The sequence below is a fragment of the Homo sapiens genome, chromosome 4 (genome assembly GCF_000001405.40).
Source record: "Homo sapiens chromosome 4, GRCh38.p14 Primary Assembly".
Taxonomy (NCBI): Eukaryota; Metazoa; Chordata; class Mammalia; order Primates; family Hominidae; genus Homo; species Homo sapiens.
Window position 1 is genome coordinate 83,966,313 of NC_000004.12, and position 22,874 is coordinate 83,989,186.

The following is a 22,874-nucleotide window of genomic DNA, read 5'->3' on the forward strand; positions in this document are numbered from 1 at the left end:
GAGACCAGCCTGGGCAATATAGACTCAGTTTCTACAAAAAATATTAGCTGGACGTGGTAGTACTACCTATCTACTAAGGTGGCTTGAGCCCAGGAATTGGAAGCTGCAGTGAGCTATGATTACACCACTGCATTCCAGCTTAGGCAACAGAGTGAGACCCTATCTCTAAAAAATAATAAATAGAAAAATAAAAAATAAATAAATATTAGAGAAACAGGGACCCTAACTTCAAAGAACTCTCAGTCTAATTATACTCATGACTGCTTCTCATCTCCAGACACTAATGTTGTCTTGTTTCCATTGTTTCCAGATAATCTTATGTGAAGATTTGACAGGTAAATGTCAGCTAAATGGTTTATTGGCTAGTTACTAATTAGTAACCAGCCTGACAATAGCTATTTTGGGAATTATGAATAATGTTTAGGGGAAGTTCTGAAAACTGGCAATCAGTACTGGCCTATAGGTATTTGTATTTGGCATCCACGGTGGTTTTTTTTTTTTTTTTTTTGTCTGTTTGTCTGGTAATATCTTTATTTACCTCCAACCTTTTCATTAAATTTGGGAAGCTTTGGGACATTTCTTCTCAATCTCTTCTTCTGCTCAGCCAGGTGATATTTCCCATAGGTCCCACCTCCAGCTTTCTGTATCTTTGAGAGGTACCTTAATTCTTTCTTTGGAGGTCTACTTCTGAACATCAGTAGAGACCTTAAAGGGACTTTTCTTAGCGTTTCTCTCCTGTCCCTGATCTTCAGTGGTTTCCCCCTTGTACTTGGGGAAGACCTGCATGCCTCAGCAGACCCTGCCTCCTCTCCTTCCACTCCCAGCCTTCAGTATACTACCTGCATGCACTTAGTGAAGACACCATTGGTGAGATGATGCAGACTTGTTCTGTGGCTAAAGCCCAGAAATTTAATCCATAATCTCAACGGATAGCCATTAAAAGTTTGTTAAAAGTTTGTCTGGTTCCTCCTTACTGCTGTCTATGGTAGATTCTCCCTTCTCCTGCTGCTTCATCAGGGATGAAAGTAGCTGTGCATCTCTTCTGTCCTAGGAAGGGCTTATCACCTTATTTAGGTTTCTTTGTGCTTCAATTCCTGGATGGTTTTAATTTTAACCTAGTTTAGCCAGCTTGTTCTAGGGTGAACTTCTGACATCCTTATGAAAAGCAGAAGTCCCCCACAGTGTCTAAAAAATTTAAATAGTTGCCAGCACTAAAAATGTTAAGATTTACATAACAATCTTATTTCTGGCTTCTCTTGAAAAATGAGAAGTTCTAGCAAGAGAGGGCCTAAATTTCATAGCAACCGTAAGTGGAGTCAAATAATATCTGTCCCATTCCTATGAGGGAGATATGGCATTGATCTATTCCTTTATAGAGAATGCTTCATAACATAATTTGATATCTAGGCAGGTAGAAGCAGAAAGATACACTATAAAAACTTCTTTGTTTAGGTTCATACAGCATTTTAAGTCAGGCCATTTAACGAGCTCTTAGCACGGTTTCCTGATGTGACAATGTTCCTCTTGATCTTTTTCAAGTACAATGGATTCCTAAATCCTTCTTGCAGGTTCATTAGTGTTAAGATTTATTAATGAAGGCAAACTGTGCCTTTCAAATTATCCTTCAAGTGCAGAGAATTGTTGAGATGTATTCTTTCCAGAGTTTGTAAGATTTTCTGATGAATCTTTTTAGTTTTAAAGGCTTGTTTAGTGTGTGTGTGTGTGTGTGTGTGTGTGTGTGTATGCTTCTTTTCAAAAATAGTCTGAATCATTGAAACTTTTTTATTATTTGAAGGGGATGGAATAGGACTGATTAAAAGAAAAGAAAGTAGTGAAATACATATTTAATAAATCATCAGCAAAATACTTAAAATTCATGGAAATATATTCACTGATAAAGAAATTATACTTTTAGTTTAACATTCACTTGCAGTATGTGTCAAGGTCCACTCTGTATAGAATCAAGTCACTAACTTCTTCTATTCTTTTCTTTGTTCCTTTATTCCTTCCAACATCCATCTGCTATTTGTTAAGCACCTTGCTAGGTGCTGGGGACTTAATGGAAAGCCAGACAGATCTAGTTTTTGCATTTATGGAATTTGGGGATGTTAAACAAGCAATTACACAAAGTGTGTGAAGCCTATATGCATTTGATTTTTGTTTATTAAAACTACAAGCATGATGGTAAAATATGTAGAAATTAATAATTCATTTCATGTCTAATTTGAGAATGACTTTGAGATAATTTTTTTTCCCTCAGTCTTGTCTCTTCAGGAATACACATTTGAACTGTATAAATTTCATTAGCCAAAATCTTTTAGGGTGTCATGAAATGTGGTAAATATAGCAAAATAAATTATTTTAAAAATGATGTTCTATATACCCCTAAATATTGTTCTTTTGAAAGAAGTCACCTTGAAGAAAGGTCTGTTATTCCAATGAATACAATCTTGGATTTCTTTTCTAAGAAAATTCTCTTGAATATTCTGAATGGTGAAACATTTTCCTTTGTGGAGATAGATGAATTTTTGAAATAAGCCAAAAGTATCTTGGCTATCACATATTCTCCTAAATATTCTGAGCGGCAGCACATTTTTATTTGTGGAGGATAGATTTAGTTCTTGAAATAAGCTAAGAGTATTTAAAATTCAGACCTATTGAATAAGACAGGAATCCATACTATTTGCGGGGATGAGGTTGTTGCTGTCTCAAAGCAGCTGTGACTATGATGTCTGGAGGGTGTGTCTGGTTAATCAGCTCTGAAGATAATTCTTCAAGAAGAGCTCCACAAACTATTTAGTACACAAAAATATACATCAATAGGCCTGCAACATTATGATGTTGAAGAAAAACAATCATTTGAGTAGATAAATTTTTGTTTATCCAGAAAAAATCTTATTAGAGGAAATTGACAACAAAAATAGTTAAAGCTGTAAAAAATATGTATAACTTAATAGTTTCTTTGGTAGCATAATATGGTATTATGCATGTACAACAGCTTGTAAAGTGAACTATACTTCTTTGTACCTGTTTGTATTTATAATATAAAAATGGCTTATTTAGATATGTTGCTTCCAGATTAAAAATATGCTATGATTCAATTCTAAATTATATGACATTTTCTTGAGGTACTTATGGTTTATTTGAAACTTTATGTATAGAATGCCTTATTAAAATAATCAAGGTTTTGTACAAAAGTTCGGAAGAAAGGCAGGACACAAGTGAATTACACATAGTAAGTTATTCAACCAGCTTTGAATAGCTGTCTTTGGCTGAATTAATATTTGATTCATCAGAAGCAAATGACCAAACAAAATGGCATGGGTCTTGGAGCTAGAGAAACCTAATTTAGAATCCTACTTTACTGCAAGCTAATTGTCCATGGCCTCAGACAATTTGTGTCCTGTTTTCCGTATATATACACATAATATATATAAGATAGATAATGTCCATCCTGTTGTGTTAATATATGTAACATACCCAATGGGCTCAACAAATGGCAGTTATTATTAAGAGATAATATGGGAAAATTGAAATTTTTTTACATATTGTAATTTTCTTATAATTAAAAGCACATTTGCTAATACTACTGTCATTTTACATGACATTCATAACTTTCTTTTCATCAGCATCTACTGTGGTGCTGGTTGCCAATCAATGGAGATACCCAAACCGGGAGTGTTGGTGCATACTTACAGTCCCAGCTACTGCTTGAGATTAGGAGTTTGAGACTGTAGTGAGCTATGATTGTGCCTGTGAATAGCCCCTGCACTCCAGCCTGGGCAATATATCAAGACCCTGTCAAAAACAAACAAACAAAAAAGCAATGAATATACCCAGTAGTTTTGGAATTTGTGAGTTTCCAACTTAGAACATAGGACTAAGTCCCAAAAGTGGCAGTTGACAGTCACTATAAAGGAGAAAGTATTCTTCTTGGAGAAACTTCTTCTAGATCTTTTTTGAGATCTAAAATAGGGCTATCATGAAACCTCGTTACAGGCAGTTCTAATTCGCATTAGCATGTATTTGTGTATACATATGTGGGCACTCTAAAATTTTCTTACTGTCTGACTTCTGAATCAACAATGTTATTGCTGCGCTCCAGGAGCACAGTGTGATTACTTTGCTTTTGTAATATATCCATGAGCAAGAGCCAGATGTTCAAATTCACCTTTTTTTTTTTTTTTTTTTTTTTTTTTTGGCTAAAGAGATTATCATCCCTGAATATAATCTCAAAGAAAGTTCCTGGGCCCTGCTCCAATAAGAAAAAGTCTTGTTTCTCTTTACAAAATCAAAGGAAAGGGCTTTTTATTATATGAGAAGTATAACATTGCATTCCAGTAGAGGAAACAGGCAATCACCTTTTGATCCCTAATGTGGATACCCAAGTTTGTAAATTTAATAAAAAGATAAAAAATGTGGTGGTGTTTTTATCTCAAGCAATAAACTCTGATTAAATCTTGCCAGTTTGATGCTAACAGTCTTCCTGGGTAGCATGAAGGTGAGTGAAAGCTTTGGACAAGATAATAGCAACAGACAAATGTGAAAGAATATGAAGTTTTAAAGAGCCTTTCAGAACACTAAAGAGTTTAGGAAATTAAAGTAATCAGTATGGCTTTTCATGCTCCCGTGTAGGCTTAACTGTCTAGGTTCATTCACTTCTCTGTCATGGAGTAAATCTATCTCCACCATTGTAATGACTATTTCTTAGTCTGTAATGATTATCTTTCATGTTCCTTTTTATTATTATTTAAAAAAATAAAGATGGGCCAGAAAGTAATATGCACATTATCTGTTGAGCCTAACAAGCTGCCAGTCAGCTAAGCCTCATTGCTCTTATAACTAAAGAGGTAAGTTTGGGAAAGGGAGGATGTGGACTGGAATTTTTAACAAGGTCTTGAAAATTTATCATCATGTTGAGCAGAAGCTATAGCATATAGGAAAAAATAATAATTACTATGAGGTATGTAACAATGCTTGGCTATGCAGACACATCTTTAAAATGTTAACGTGATAACAGTGGTCTGAAAAGTCAGAAACTTTAGATGGCATGCTTTGTATAATAGATATTGAGTGCAATTCAGTCTAGTTATGCATGTTTATACAAATGTGTGGAGTATGGTAGTAGGGTCTTTAGTTAGAATAAATTGTAATTAATGTTGAGATTAACTTTATTTTATGTCAATTATGTTTCTTAGTTTATCCCATATTCATGATGATAACATTTTGATAAAGAAGTGAGGATTTTGCATTATGGTTGTGGATAGGAAGCAGTGCTTAAACATTTTGGTTTTGCCTGGTTAATGTTGATAGCAATTAAATAATCCTAATATGACTTAAGTTAGGTATGGCTTATATTTTTGTTATCTAGATATTAAATTGAGCTGGCTTCTTTTAATGTTTCATGGTTGAAGTTATATTAAAACATATTAGTTTGGCACAGCTTTCAAAAGGGCACCCTCTGTTAGATAAAGGGTGCCATAATAGCTTCTGGAATGATCTATTATTTTTGGCATATAAAAAGAGTTATAATGCTGTTCGTTAAAATTTATGTTTCATAATAAAATGAATAATTCATTCACTCATCCACTGACAAGCAGAATACTTAAATTAATGTCTCAAAGTAAAAAATCAGCACCAAACCAAAAAGCTAGGGTTGGAGGTAGAGAAAGAAGCCTGGCTATTAGGATATAATGCATTTTCAGAAGATAACCATAATATAAAATGAGTCTGAAAGTCATTTATAAAGAACAGGATATTAAAAGCTATAGGAAAAAAAGGCCATTTATCTATTTGTGTACTATTTTGAAGACTTGAGCCAAATGTTTCATCAGTGATTTGGGCGCCTTCCAATAAATTGGATGGGGTTTATGTGTGTGTGCAGGGTGGGGTGGGAAAGGAAGGTGGGCAACAGTCTCTTTTTCCTTTGAGCTTTGTTTATTTAAGCCTTCATTCAGTAATTCAGCAAATGCCTACTGAGCAGCTGATATGTATAAGGCAAGCTGCCAGGCACTACAATTTATATACAAAGATATCTAAAGCATAATACCTGAGTTCAGAAGTTACAAGTGGAGATGACATATCTAGATGAATTTAAGATAAAATTAGTTTTAAACATAATTCTGAAGTAAATTATGGAATGAAATTAATTTGTTAATGACTAAGGATGAGTAAATAAATCTCATCCACTGCCTCCTTTTTACAAAGCATCATCATCATCATTATCATCATCATCATCATCATCTGATCATTAAGGATAACAATAATAGCCAACATGTACCATTCTGTGTGTTTACATGTATTTATATGTACACAATAACCCTATGGTGCAGGCGCTATTATTATCTCCATTGAATAAATGGGGAAACTGATGGACGATAAATTATGCAACCTGCTCAGGATCATACAGGTAGTAAGGGTAGTCAGGGCTTAGCTCCAGAGCCCAGGGTTTTAGCTATCAGAAATTACACACATGCAGGCATTGCTGTCAACTCAGAACCAATATGGCATAATTCCCTGACAATATCTAGTTGGCATTCTAAGATGTCAGGATTGTGAGGATATTTTCATTTTGTTTTCCAGATTTCTTTAAAGTTGTGAATAGAAATTTCATATAGTTTGAAACAAGTCAAAGAGCTCAGGCCTTGGTTTAGAAAAGGAAATTGTATGAGTATGACAGATGTTCTGTTGTTGATATTTGAACATTCACATTTACAGAGAATCTTTATTTCCTAAAACTGATGTTTATCAGGGTTAGTCAAGACAGTCACAAATCAAACAGAGGTTGTTTCTGGTTAGCTAAGTTCTATCCATAATAAGAGAGTTCTGAACTGGGATCCCTGTACACATGACCATATCACTTTTCAGATCTCAGGTTTTCCATGTGTAAAACAGAATTGAATGAAGTGATCGCCTGGGTCCATTTCAAGCTTCATGTTCTGTGAGTTTATATTTCTTTGCATTAATGAGGCTCATGCAGTTCTAGATTTGATAATAATAATTAAGAAAGGTTTTAGTGGCTGGGTGCGGTGGCTCACGCCTGTAATCCCAGCACTTTGGGAGGCCAAGGTGGGTGGATCACGAGGTCAGGAGTTCGAGACCAGCCTGGCCAACATGGTGAGACCCCGTTTCTGCTAAAAATACAAAAGTTAGCTGGGGGTGGTGTCATGTGCCTGTAATCCCAGCTGCTTGGGAGGCTGAGGCAGGAGGATTGTTTGAATCCGGGAGGTGGAGGTTGCAGTGAGCCAGGATTACGCTCCAGCCTGGGGGACAGAGCGAGACCCTGTCTCAAAAAAATAAAAAAGGTTTTAGTGAGAAAAGTCAGCAAAATTTAGACACTTAGAAAATAGCTTTACATGAGCTGTTATCTTTTTTCCATTGACGGGTAGCTTTGGCCAAGTCAACCAGTGTACATTGCACAAATAAATATATTACATTGCATTTCTTACAGACTTAAAATAATTGCTTCTATTCAGAAATAGTGTTAGTTTTGTTTAGTCAAGGAGTTAATTATCATATTTCAACATTTGGTTACAATTTCCCATCTTTTGACTGTGACGCAAAGTAAAATAAGTTTCCTAGGAAGGCATGCATAAGTTCCAACAATAAAATGCTAAAAATAGAAAACACTAAAAAATGGAATAGGCAGAATTGACGTGATTATGTGTTCATTTCATACCTCTTGTAGAACATTGTAAAAACTTAATGTTCTTATATTTCACAGATTTGTAGACATTTTTGTTCTAAAGACCTTCAATATCACTTTTCTGAGCCAGAAGTCCTGTCAGGTAATTTCCAATGCCTGAGAATTTTTACTGCCTAAGGTGTGTGACCATAATATTTTAATATGTGATTGCAATTTCCTAGTTAAGAAATGGCTATATTAACTATATTGACACAGAGGTGAATTTACCTACTCTTTGAAAAGAAAGCCTGAGATCTTAATAACTTGATTCTCTGTCTGATGTGTGTCACGGATGAATCATCCCTCCCATGAAACATGCACAATTAATTTACTCCCATGGAGAAGCAGTTTATGATAAAAACCAGTAGCTCCAGTTCTTCTTCCTAGCTCTCTGTCCTAGGGCAAGCCATTGACCTCTCAAACACCATTTTATTTTCAACTATGAAATGGAAATTGTTATCCTTAAACCTACCCTAATTTCTTAAAAAGCAACTTTGCTTCATTGTTTATGAACAATAACACATTTCTTGTGACTCATTTTATGTATGATCACAACACATGAGTACAAGTGGATGCTTTGGATGAGAACTGATATTCTAGATGGAGACACAGACTGGAAGGGTCATAGGAAGTGAGTAATCTCACTCCCTAGACAAAAACTTTGCACATCAGGATCTAGAAAATGGAAGGCTGGAAGTTGGGGGCTTTTTTTTTTTCTGATTTTGATGTGAACCAATGTCATTTAGAAGAGAAAATTGAAGCAGCAAAGTGTAAATTTTTAAAAGGCATATTATTATTTTTTAAAAATAGTAGATGTAAGTTTCAGTTTTTTCTAACTCTGAAGATTCAGGACATTGGAACCTACTATTCCTTCTGGGCTTTGGTGAATTTCATTTCTGTTTAGGAAAGTGGAAGGGGAGAAGTTAAGGCCTCCATCCTTGATAGTTTAGCCTCATATTCACTCTCAATTCACAGGAAAGTTGAATAGTCTCAGACTGATGTTCCTATTTCTGAAAATGTACTAATCACTTGATATGTAATCATATAAATTCCCACCTCCACATATTCCTACCTGCACACTCCTACCTCAAACAATTTTTCATTTACCCCACTACTTTTTAGGCATGGGTTAAATAACAAGAGAACCCTACGTATTACCCCATTTGAGAAGGCAAGTCTGTCCAAGAAAGAATACGTCCATCTATGGTGGAAGCTCAAATGATTATTTTTCTCATACATTGAGAATTTCTAATTTACATTCAGGGAAACGTTTCCAATTCACTGAAAACAGATAACAAAAAATAAAGAAGTAATAGAATGTAATCTTCACTTCAGTTTTCTGGAAGTTTATATATATATATATATGTATATACACACCCACACATGTATATATTCTTATTTGAGGTATAACTTATAAACAATAAAGTGTACAAATCCCAAGAGGACAACATGCTCTTTGCATAGACATATTCTTTTATAATCACCACTCAGACCAAGGCACAGAAGATTTCCTGCCTCTCTCCCCCTACCTCCTACTCCTTCACAGAGGTAAGCACTTTTCTGTCCTTTACCACCATATATTAATTTTGCCTGTTTTTGAACTTCATATAAGTGTAATAATATAATATATAGTCTTTTACATTGTGCTTCTTTTCTGCTCAACATTATTTCAGTGAGATCTTATTCATGCTGTGGTGTGGAGCAATAGTGTGTTCTTTTTCACTGCTGTGAATTATTTCATTGTATGAATATTCTACAACTTAGTTATTCTATTATTGATGGACATTTGGGTTGTTTCCTACTTTTTAGCTATAAATAGTACAGCTACGACATTATAGTAAATGTTTTTGGTGAACATTTTTGGTGAACATAGCACCAAGGGTGGGATTGCTGGGTCATAGGATAAACACATGCTTAGATTTAGTTGATGGGCCAAAAGTTTCCCAAAGGGCTTATACCAGTTTACAGTCCCATCAACAGCAGATGGGAGTTCCACATCTTTACCAACATTTAATATGTTGAGTGTAGGTGCTCTTACAGCATTTTAGATGGTGTGTGGAGATATTTTATTGTGATTTTAATTTGCATTTCTCAACCAACTAAGCATGTTGATCTCGCTTTTGTATGTATATTGGCCATGTATTTCACTTTTGTGAATGTCTGATCAAGTATTTTCCACATTAAAAAAATCTGGGTTGTCTTTTTCTTTTTGATTTGTAGTTTTTTATATATTCTAAATATGAGTCATTTTATATATATATATATATATATATATATATATATATATATATATGGCAATTATTTTTTTCCAGTCTGTTGCTTGCATTATTATTTTTTAAAGTCGTCTTTCAAAGAGTAGGAGTTTTAAATTTCATGCAAAATAATTGATTTACCTTTTCCCTTGTGGTTAATTTCTTGCTTTTTTCCAGTTAAGAAATATTTGCCTATCTCAAAGTCTTGAAGATATCTATGCTTTCTTCTGAAAGATAGCTATGCTTTCATCTTTTATATTTAAGTATCTGATCCATCTCTAATTAATTTTTGTGCATGATGTAAGATAAAGGTCAATGTTTCCCTTTTTCCATTTATTGAGAAGACTGTCTTGTCCCCACTGGATTGCAGTGGCATTTTTATTATAAATCAAGTGACCATAGCTGTGTGGATCTGTTTCTTGGCTCTCCAGCATGTCTCTTTGGTTTATCTGTCTACCCTTGAGCTGAAACCTCACTGTCTTAGCTACTTTTGTTTAACAGTAAGTCTTGAATTCTGGTTCCAAGTCCTGCAGCTTTATCATTATTCATTTTCTAGACATTCCTGACTATTCTAGGCTCCATATATTCACTGAAGAGATACTTGAAAGCTCTACTTTTGAAAGATTTTTAAATAACTTTTTGGGAATTAATAAATTTTTCAAAGCATGGGATTGACCTTCAAACTCATTCTGATTATAAGATCTTTGGTGAATTAATGGATCATTAAGATCTTAATTTCTGCAGTGATAGAATAGGACTAAATAATTTCCATCAACCTCCTTGGATTGCTGTATGGCTAAAACACAAATGATTATAACTCTCTTGAATTCAATACTAGTGAATTAGTGCCCTTAATTTAGGGAGGGGAGTTACCTTAAGGATCACCTGGCTCAAGTCCTTTATAACAGAAGTGAAAAACTGTTAAGGTAGGTGATTTTCCCAATGTCTGTCTCCTGATCCACAAGTCACGTTTCTTTCTGCTAAAGCTTGCCATCTTTTAATCAAACCTACAATATTTTAGGAAACATTTGTCTTGATACACATGTCTTGTATCTATTGGCAGAAAGAGATGTGTGACCTTAAGAATGTTAAACTTCAATAAAGAGGAAAACAGTTTATAAGAACTGTTCCTTTGTGATGTAGAGAGATGCTTAATTAGCTAGAATGTCATTTAAAATTGCAGTGTAAATCTTTAAAAAATTAATCCCAAGTCCCCATGAATTATGTCTCCTCTGATTGTGCGCTCCAAAAGATTTTAAATCAGCAAGGCACATCTTGATCTAAGAACCATGTTAATGTTTGCACACTCTCCACTTTCTCATTTGCTTCAAGAGAGGAAGGTTTCTCCTTAATTCCATTTACAACAGCTGGATTTTGGAAGACAAACATTAACAATCTACAATTAAAAATCATTTCAGCTAAAGGGAACCTGAACAGATGAGGAGCATCATTGACAGTGGATTTTCCCCACTTCCTACGCTCTCCCCAAAACACTGCTTGTTTCCCTTCCCTTTTATTTTATTTTAATCACTCTTCTGAGACATTGTTGGGACTGACTCTTCATCAAGGTGTCCAGCTGAAAAATGGTTATCAGATCCTGCTGAGGCAGGGACAGAGGAACAGCAGCTCACATCGGCTGCAGATGTGCAGAGTGGTAACTTTGGGAGGCAATGATAATTAAAGAGCATATGGTCCATAATAAATCTGTACAGTAGTGTTAGCCTGTATTAATCGAGGGATTAAGAGTAATAGCACATCCTTACAAATAGCATGTTAAATCTCAAGTTACAATTCCTAGGCTTAACATAGGTCTGTGTAAATTTGGTGTTTTTCTTATTCGATATAGCATATGAAGTGTGAGAGATTTATGATATAATTTGTGTACATGCACCCTGATCAAAATGGCTGAGAAGGGCCTGATAACACACAAACATCTGGAGATACAGATGTCATTCCCGTGAAGCTGAAGACTGCCTGGGGTGGGGTGGGGGCAGTAGAAACGTATGATTGTGAGGGAAGCAGGGCTCAGAAGTGCCAAGTTTCACATGAGTTTGATAGAAATGTGTTATGAGTGCTTAACACTGTGATTGATAGTGTTTGACGAAGCAAACTATCCCCTAAGCCTATGCATGCCTTTTTGTTTGGTTTTCAGATTCGTTCTTTACTTTTACTCTTTTTTTTACAGTGGTGACTTTTACTGGGAAAGGCATTGAGTGTCCAGGTTTGGATAACAGAGGCGACTCTTTTGGAACAGGGAAAGCTGTGGTGAAGAAGGCAAGTCATATCCATGTTGTGTCCTGGCCTGATAGGAGGTTATCAGCAAGAAAGGGAGAAGTGTGTATTTCCTCGTTCACTTATACGTTCTCAATGTCTATCTATTAATACCCTCAAACCAGTGACTTTCATTCATGTTTATAAATAAAATTATATATATGAATACCCTATCAAATTAATAATGATTATTTCTGTTTACTGGAATTATGGAATATTTTTCCTTCATTTTGCTGATCTAAATGTTCATTGATGATTGAGATAACATGTTTTTCAGAAGAGAAATATTAAAAGCACAATTTTTCTTGAAATGAATGTCTTCACAGAAGTTCTGGTTTTGAATTCTTCTGTCTTTAACTGACCCCAGTGGCTTCCTTCTGGTTTCATCAAAGTCAAAGAATGACTACTACTTCTTTTCTTTTCCTCTCATCATTACCAAGTGAAAATAAACTGAAACATGATTATTCTTGTCAGCTCAAACAACATACTTTCTAAGTAGACTAGAGTAGAATAGTTGAGCCTGACAACTGTTATAAACCAAATGAGCAAAAATATGTAGGACCATATGGTAAAGGATATACATTTATAAGTTAAAGAAATATGTCCACTGGGAAATCCTAGGGGCTGGGCCTTGGAGTTTCCTGAAGCATCCTCCATAGATGAAGATGCATCACCTCAATGTTAAGTCAGTCAACTCTCTTCTAATGGATCAATAGCCCACTGGCTGAAGATTTTTGAGAATAGTTTAAAAAATTCATATCTTTTGGCTGGGCACGGTGGCTCATGCCTGTAATCCCAGCACTTTGGGAGGCGGAGGCGGGCGGGTCACCTGAGGTCAGGAGTTTGAGAACGGCCTGGCCAACATGGTGAAACCCTGTCTCTACTAAAAGCACAAAAATTAGCCAGGTGTGGTGGTCCGCACCTGTAATCCCAGCTACCCGGGAGGCTGAAACAGAATTGCTTCAACCTGGAAGGCAGAGGTTGCAGTGAGTTGAAATTGTACCACTGCACTCCAGCCTGGGTGACAGAGCGAGACTCCATCTCAAAAATAAATAAATAAATACATAAATACATAAGTAAAATAAGAGTAATGGTTTACCCCAGTGTCCTGGGCCAGGCGTTTGGAGGCTCAGATGAAAACCTTCTGTCAACTCCCAAAATCCTCTTTATAGGATCAAAGTATATGTGCCATCTCAGTAATATAAATTTATGTATATAATAACTGAATGCTCTATTCATTCGTTTGCTGGATGTGATGTTGCATTGGGAATACAATGGATAACAAAAGCAAAGTAATTAAGGCAATATTGAGTTTCCCTTGCAGAGCAAGAGCAGATGATTATATTGCCATAACCTTTGGAGTCGGACAGTAACCTTAGCTGATCAGCAACTCATTTTTCACCCGATGTCATTCTGTTCTCTTCTGGCCTCCTCCTAACCATACTGTAGATGAATAGCCATGCTCCTAGATTTACTGTTCTGCCACTGACTGAGGAAGCAGCTGCTGATGCTGTGATGATGCATGCAGTCTAGGGATGCCAGGCTTTTACTTCTATCAGGGACATTTTTTCCTTATTGGTTTTTAAATAAGCAATTTTATATTTCATACTGGCAGTGCTACATCTCAGCCTGAAGAAGGGCTAATGGCCGAAAATATTTTATGTGAGTTTCACATGGGGGCATATTCTACCATCAAAGGAGCTTAATTGCTATGATGGGAAATGGCTTTGGCATGGAAATGCCAGGGAGCATTTTTGAGTTCCTCTTGAAACAAAAAGAGAAAAAGAGAATCAGACAGACACAGAGAAGCAAACACATATTGACAGATACACACAGTAGGTAGTACACTCAGTTCTATTCCTGGTACCAGAAGGAGTTCTTTAACTGGATAGAGACAACAAAAAGGGTTAGCTAACAGAAACCATGCATGTACTCTGGATGATCTACATGGACTATTATGTGGTCATCTTAAACATATAGATGTACCTATGTGTATACGCATATGTGTATACACACTTAAAACCATATATGTGACACACAGAGTAGTAGAATTAAGTGTAGTTCTGATTTTTAAACTATGAATCCTTATTCTGGTAATGTAATGAAAGTTATGAGAGTGCTGTTTCTCTTCTTTGTGTTGCTTATTTCCTCTTTCTTAGACCTATGTTCATATCCATGTGTCAGAAACTAATTGCAGAAAATCCTTGGCCTCTCTGTTGAGAATGAAGTTTATAGTCTTAGACAACTTCATTTTCCATAGTGTTAGACTTTTCTGATCCTATTTGCTACTATATCAATCTATGTATTTATAAGACCTTCATGAGTTGAAATTCTAATTCAATGCATGACTTACAAAACTATCTGTTGGGTAAGATTTTATAAAACATCTCTGTTGTAGTAATAAGAAGGTTTTCTTTGTGGTCTGTTGTTTGTTCTATCAATGATGCTTTAGCTTTTGGTTGAAAAAGAACAAATCCCCACCTTGGCATATTGTTGCCTGGAAATTTGTCTCCATTATTCAGAATTCTTAGGTTGTGGCTATTTTAAGTATCAAACTATCAGATGTCACCTCCAATGTTATCAACTATGTTTAAGATCATGTAATTACTGCTTTGTTGAAATTTTGCTGCATAAATAAAAAGAGTTACTGACAGCACCAGATATGCAGGTACAAAAATATTTCCTTTCTTATTAAGTATAAGAATGATACTTTTAAAAAGAAAATATAAATCTAATTTTATATCCCCCTAAAATGTTTAATCATTTGATATTTTTTCAGAACAAATTGCAACAGAAGCGGAATATTGCCTGAAGCATGCACGTGGCACACACAGACACACACGTGCCCACACGATACATATTCATACACACACACACACACACACACACACATCTCCAGAAGTTAAATTCAGATAACAGAAGTGGAGAATTTTCATGGATAATAGGATCTATGATGAATCTTGCAGAGTAAAAATTGAATGACCATGTTGCTAGTGTACTAGATGGTTCCATTATCTGTCCTGCACAGGGAGGAGCAATCCTAAATACTGCACTTATTCTGTCGGCCCCTCCCCGCCAAGATGAATTTATCAGGAATTGATACCCACTGGAGTAGGGGCCATATTTAGGATGAAAAGCCATGATTACATTTTTTCTCAAATTTGAGAAACCAAGCTAAAAGGTCCTATAGACCAGGGAGTTGAAGTTGCCATTTTAGAGCACAAGGTAAGTTAGCAGGAAAAATGAGTGTGTAGAATGAGAAAAAGCAAGGAGATTCAATGACAGGCATCACGTGGCCCTTGAAGAAAAAAGGGGAAAAGAATATCAATCACATGACCTTGATCCAGGACCCTTGAGACACCCCCCCCCCGACCCCCACCGGAGTCATTATTTTCAATATGGCATTGTTTTTTAGGTTTAATTCCTTTCATGTGAAGAAATGGGTAGAAGCTACAAGGAGTCTGAGAAATTCTTCAGCCCAGCACTTGATTTTACAGATTGGTGAACAGAAGTTTATTGAAGTTAAAAACAGAAAACTTGTTCAAAATCACATAGTGACATAATCAGTTCCCCTTCCTTAGCATAGATACATACAATATAGTCCAGAGGAATATTTGTTATCAATAATAGTATCATTTGCAGAGACATGAATACTAATAATATTCTCACTTCTAATCTTTGAAAATATTTCTTCTACAGGTTTTCAGGGAAAAAATTGCTTTTCTGATGGATGGTCTGGAGCATTCATTCACTAAGAAAATGTGAGGCCCTCCATGATCTTTCCCAAGTTATATTTCTAGACTCATCTGTACTAGTCATACTTGGGGACCCTGTGGTCTAGCCACGTTGTTCCCTGAAATCCTGAAATGCCAAGTTTTACTATTTAAAAATGTATTTTATTTACATATTTATATGTATATATATATATGTGTGTGTGTGTGCGTGTATATATATATATAAATATACATGCATTTGCTAATAATATTTCTTTTTCCTAGAACAGCAGTTCTGCATCCTGGCTGTATATTAGAAGTTCCTGATGCCCAGAGCTGTCAGGTCCTGATTTAATTAGTCTGTGTTGTGGTATCAGCTAACTGAAGTATAATTTATGTACAATAAAAATTCATCCATTTAACTATACAGCTTGATGAAATTTGTTAACTGTACAGCCATATAACCACCATCACAATCAAGACTTAGCACAGTTCTATCTCCTTACAAAGTTTCCTTGTGCCCTTTGTTAGTTGATCCCCTCTCCTGACACCTGGCCCCAGCTAACCACTGATCTATCTTCTGTCACTATAGTTTTGCCTTTTCTAAAACTTTATATAAATGAGACCATATAGTGTGTATTCATTTAGATTTGACTTTCTCTACTTAGCATACATTTATGCTTTTGAGATTCATTCATATTGCTGCATATTTTAATATTTTTTCCTTTTTGTTGCTGAGTAGAATTCCATAGTATGGATAAGCCATAATTCATTGATCTTTTTACCAGTCAATGGAGAGTTGAGCTGTTTCCAGTTATTTGGATATTATAAATAATGTTCCCATGGATATCTGCATACAAGTCTTTGTGTGGACATATGTTTTAATATCTCTGGGAGCAGAACTGCTGGGTTACATGGTAAGTAAATTATTGCTTTTATAGATATTGCCATATTGTTTCTCAATATCATTTGCATTTTCACAGTAATGTGTGAGAAGTCCAGTTGTTTCACATTCTCACCAATACTTAGTATTGTTAGACTTTTAAACTTTGGCCATTCTATTGAGCATGTAGGAACATCTCAGTATTAAGTCAAGCATCAGTATTTTAAAAATACTCTCAGGTGACTCTAATATCACCTACATGTTCTCATTGTTCAGCTCCCATTTATGAGTGAGAACTTGTGGTGTTTGGTTTTCTGTCCCTGTGTTAGTTTGCTGAGGATAATGGCTTCCAGCTTCAGCCATGTCCCTACAAAGGACATGATCTCATTCCTTTTTACGGCTGTATAGTTTTCCATGGTATATATGTACCACATTTTCTTTATCCAGTCTATCACTGATGGGCGTTTGAGTTGATTCTGTGTCTTTTCTATTGTGAATAGTGCTGCAATACACATACTATAATGGAATGATTTACACTCTATTGGGTATATACCCAATAATGGGATTGCTGGGTCAAATGATATTTCTGGTTTTAGATCTTTGAGGAATAGCCACACTGTCTTCCACAATTGTTGAACTAATTTATGTTCCCAACAACAGTGTCAAAGTGTTTCTATTTCTCCACAGCCTCACCAGCATCTGTTGTTTCTTGACTTTTTAACGATCACCATTCTGACTAGCAGGAGATGGTATCTCACTGTAGTTTTGATTTGCATTTCTCTAATGATGAGTGATGTCGAGTTTTTTTTTTTTCATTTGTTTGTTGGCTGCATAAATGTCTTTTGAGAAGTGTCTGTTCGTGTCCTTTGCCCCCTTTTTGATGGGGTTGTTTTTTAAAAAATTTGTTTAACTTTTTTTGTAAATTCTGGATATTGGACCTTGTCAGACAGGTAGATTGCAAAAATTTTCTCCCATTCTGTAGATTGCCTGTTTGCTCTGATAATCATTTCTTTTGCTGTGCAGAAGCTCTTTAGTTTAATTAGATCCCTAAATGGTACCTATCTCAAAGGGTTAATATGATCACTGAATGGATTAGTAGTCATATAACATTTTGAACTGTGCCTAGCACATGGTAAGCAGTATGTGAGTACTCACTATTTTTAGAGTTTACTTATGTGTTTCTGCTCTGTGGTGTCCAGGGGTGGTTTGTAACAATAATTTTAAAAAGCTGAGATATTAGAAAGAGAGGGGAGCTTGAGGGAAAAGAGAGAGACTAGGATTACTTTTCCTAATATTGGCTTTGAAAAAACTGAAAATGAAATATCCATTTAACCCCTGTCAGTCCAGTTCTCTAGAGTGAGGCTTCATGGTCTCATTGGAGTGCTCACCCCCTTCAAATCCCATTTCCCCCCAAGGTAAAGCACCAGGACATTCAGCTGATGTCTGACTCTAGAGATTGTTCCCACTTAGTCTGGCTGCTGTCACTTGTTTCATCAAGAGCCAGTTCTGATCTCCAGCCAGTAGATCCAGCTTTTCAGTTTTCTCCCTTTACCAGCTGGTCAGATACTAATGCTTAAAAGCACCCCACTGTCCTGAAGGTGGTATTTTTATTAGAGCAGTTGCTGGAAATTTGGTGAGGCTTGCTTCTCAGCAATTTAGGAACTTTTAAATTTGTTTTACAGTGTATCTTTTCTTCCATGATAGAGAAGTCCTGTTTATGTATTAGAGGGTATACCTTTTCAAAGGAGCTGATTAGGATGATTTCTAGTTGAAATAAATAAAGTATTTCATTGGATCCTAGAAACAATAATCTGACTATACTCAGATCGTATTCATGCTGTGGGAGGAAAGAGCCACTGAGATTATTTGAAGTTTTACTGTTACTGCTAGGGTTGAGGAGAAGAGAGCAGCTTTGAGCAAGGAGACATCTTTCTTCAAATGCCGTATCTCTGGGGCCTGGTGAGGTTGAGGGTATTCCTTTCTTTAAACATTGAATATTTTGCAGCCACCCTATGGTGCAGAATCCTACCAGATGTTCCTGGCCCCTTCTGGCTGGGTCTGGCCACGGTAGGACACAGAGTGCTTGCTGTCCTTGCTGCTCTTGGAAGTCTGGCTGGGAGTTCTCTGCAGGATTAGAATATGGTGCTAATGAGGCCTGGGCCACAAGGTGGATCCAGGTGTGAGCCAGTCACCTTTGCACAGAGAAAAGCTTTGTCCTTTGGTCTCAGTTTGCACCTAGCCCTTGAGAGCCATTCTAAAAATGGGTCAGAAGGGGAACCAGGTGAGAGAATGTTCATGAATAGGGGATTCATTTTCACTATAGGGAAATCAAAGCACAGGACTTAATAAACCCAAGTTTATAGTAACATCTTTATTGGTGTGGGCTAGTGGGTGGTAATTAATAGGAGACAGACACCCAAACCAAAACATGAAGCTACACAGAAGTACCTGCTGCGGACACACATCAGTGGAGACACAGGCCATTTACCCATGCTGTCCAGGAGGAAAACAAGGAATTTAGTTAAACATATACTTATTGATTGAACACCTAATACAGCAAGCCACTCTTCAGGTTGCTGAGTGGGGCACTTAGTGAGTTTCTATTATCAGAGAACTTAATTTTGGCAGGCAGTAGAAATAAGTACACAGATAACTAAAATACAAGAAAGTGTTAGGTGAATTACAAAAAGTACAACCAAAATATAAAGATTCTGGGAGGGAAAAGTCACAATTACAGAATACACCATTGATTAACCCAATATATATTCCCCTCTATTTTCCTTCCTCACTGATTTTTGATTTTATTTAGTATCTGCCATTCTCCACACAATTATGGGCTTCAGGGGAAACTGACCTCATGCCCAGCTTCTGAGAATTTAAACTGATTAGTCTAAGCCAATCCTGGGAATCTCATTATCCCCTCCTGTGCATTATTTAGGAATGGTTATGCAGTCAACTGTAGCCAATAATGATGGTAAGGGAAAGCTTCTAGGGAAAGTTACCTTGCCACCTAGCAAACGGGAGAATGGATCCCTTTTTTATTGGCATGTTCCCAGCACTGGATGTGATGCGTGGTACTGCTGCAGGCATCTTGACATCAGCCTGAGACAAAAGCGAACACGTGGAGAAGCATGGAGTAAGACAAGTTTAACAAGAGGTGAATGTTACACAAGTTGCATTCACCCAGTGGAGGTGAGAAAAATTTTATGCAAAGGCCAACATTCAAGGTGAATATAAAAGGAAAAGTAGAAGTTTGATCATTGGAGTACAAAGAGTAAAATATTTTAGGTGATGGGGTGGTGGTAGTGGGGTGGAAATAGTCCAGGTTCAGAAAAAAAATCAGAAAAAAGGCACAGGGATTTGAAAGTTTAAAATATGTACATTCAGACTAAAATTTGATAATTTTATGCATTTTCATTTTACTGTATAAGGGATATAGACCATTTGTGGAGATTGTTAAAGATAGTTATAAAAAAGGAAAAGAATCAGATACATGAGAGATTAAAATATGCAAATGATAATAAAAGGTCCACACACAGAAGGTTGAAGAGAAGAAAAATGGAGTTTCTAAATCCTACACAGTCTCCAGGTTGGAATATGACTTTCAAATTTCCATGACCAAATGAAAAGGAAACCTGGTAAATTCCATAGATCTCGTTGCACATTTGAAGAAAACATGCTAATTCATAAAGAATATTTATTTATGTGAATATTTATATGGGGGACAATGAAAGATGTAAAGGCTAATATCCTCATCAAATTTTCTACAATTAATTCATCATTGGTTCCAATGCTTTTTTCAACTAAGGGCAAATCAAAGTATATAAAATTCTCAGTGGAGTCTTGAGAAGAGAAGCAGGCAAGGTTAAGTTGGACCATACAGTGCAGAGATTTGGATGACAGGATAAGAACTTTGGAATTCATTCCATAGGCAATTGGAAAATGTGAAGGAGTTTAACTGAAGAGTAACTTGATCACAGCTGATTTCCTGGAGAGTTTAATCTATTAATGGTCTGTAAATCAAATCTGAAGAAGAAAATCATAGAGATAGAGAGGAAAATAATAATATAAGAAGCAATAGGGATAAATAAACAGAAAAAAATGGTTAAAGAATCTTAAGAAAAGACATTGCTCAACTTTGTGCTGGTAAATTTCAATATCTGTCAATAACATGTACAATTTTCAAGAAAAATGAAAAACCAACAGACTCCGAAGCACGCCAAATAAAAAAAGTCAGATACAAAAGTGTATGAGCCTTACTGTATGATTTCATTTATACAAATTAAAGAATATACAAAAATTCTGTAGTGATAGAAATCAATGGTTGCCTGGGGGAGAGTTTGGATTGACTATCAAGAGGTACGAGGAGACTTTTGGGGGTGAAAAATGGTCTATATTTTGATTACAAGCACTCGTTATAGGTGAATACATTAGTCAAAACTAGAACTACGCAGTTTTTTTCTGTACATAAATTATACTTCAGGGAAAAAAAGCACAGTATGACAAAATAAAAACTAAATATAGAAGAGACAGGAAATCTAAACAAACTGGATTCTGTTGAAGAACAGATAAACAGATAAAGCTGTCAAAGAGCTTCTCCAAAGCATTATTAGGTTCTAATGTTTTCACAGGAGAAGTCTTTCAAATCTTTGAAGATCAGCAAATCTGATGCTGTTTGTACCTGTACTACTGAAAGTGTGGTCCTTGGGCCAGCAGCCGATCCATGCTTATAGCCAGCATTGTAACTGGTTAGTGACAGGAATGTAAATCCTGTTATGTAAACTCTTATGTAACTATGTTACATAAGGAATGTAAATCAAGTATGTCACTAAACATGCCGTTTAGTCCAGTTAATTTTTTTTTAAACTAAGACTTTCTCAATGATAGGAATAGTACATGGATTTTCATTCTGGTGCACTCTTCTTATCTTGCTGAAGTTGGGCTCTTTGAAGGGCTCTGGCTTGCACTATTAAAGAATGTGGACATCAAGAGAAAATGTCTGCATCAGTTGTAGTCCCAACAGGACAGCGATGGCATACTCATATTAGGGTATCTAAGAAGGTTTAATAAAGGAGCTATTTATAAATGTGTGTGCAGGGCGTAAGGGACCACCAGGAATAGTGTAGCATACCCAACAATTGGCTGGTAACAGGAGAACTAATGCTCCAGTTAGGCCCAAAGGGATGAGGAATGTGAGCGGTTATCAGAACCCAGAAGAGAGATATAGTGCATCATATGATAAAAATAGCGATTTTTCTTTTATTGAGTATTTTATCAAGAATGAATATTAAATTTTGCTAAATTCTTTTTCAACATGTATGCTATAACATCCCCAAAGCAAACACATTACTTATTGAGAAATTATAAGAAACATTCCCATTAAAGAACAAGAGAAACATGCTTGCTATGGCCACTGTTCTTCAACATTGTACTGGAAGTATAAGCCAAGGTGATTAGACAGTAGAAATAAGCAGTATAAAAATTGGAAAGTGGCAGGAAAAATGCATCTTATTTTCAAATAGTTGATTGTTTAATGTAAAACCCTAGAGAATTAATTTAAAACCACTAAACAATCAAAACAGCCACAAAATTAACATATAGTAATCAAATATAAAAAGAACAACTAGTTAGAAGATGTGATTAAAAAAATACCTTCCCACTTACAATAGCGCTAAAAAAGGTAAAACTATCTAGGCTAAACAGGAAATATGTAAGACCTAAGAAAACTCAAAAACACTCTTAAAATGTACAAGATCCAAATACATGAAAATGCATACTATATTTTTATATAAGAATGTTTAACATTATAAAGATGATAATACTCTCTATTTTACAAATTAAAACACTCTTGATTATAATAAAAATGCCACAGCTGCTTTTTTTTTGAGGATGGGGCAGAAGGAGGGAGCTGAAAAAGATGATCCTAAGTGTCATATGGGAAAATAAAACAATTCCAGGAATACTCTTAAAAAATGAGTACTGAGAAAAAATATCATACCGATATTAACATATATTAGAAAGTCTCAAAATTTAAAGAGTGTACTATTGGACTGTGAAAACGAAACAGAACA

At 35.7% G+C, this 22,874-nt stretch overlaps 1 long non-coding RNA gene across 1 annotated transcript in view; it reads right to left on the reverse strand.

Moving 5' to 3' along the window:
* Positions 1-1,769: 1,769 nt before the first annotated feature.
* LINC02994 (long intergenic non-protein coding RNA 2994) overlaps positions 1,770-22,874 on the reverse strand; it is a 331,088-nt gene continuing 309,983 nt past the window's right edge. Inside the window, exon 9 of the long non-coding RNA NR_125909.1 lies at positions 1,770-3,798. This is a non-coding gene — a long non-coding RNA (long intergenic non-protein coding RNA 2994). The remainder of the gene's footprint in view (positions 3,799-22,874) is intronic.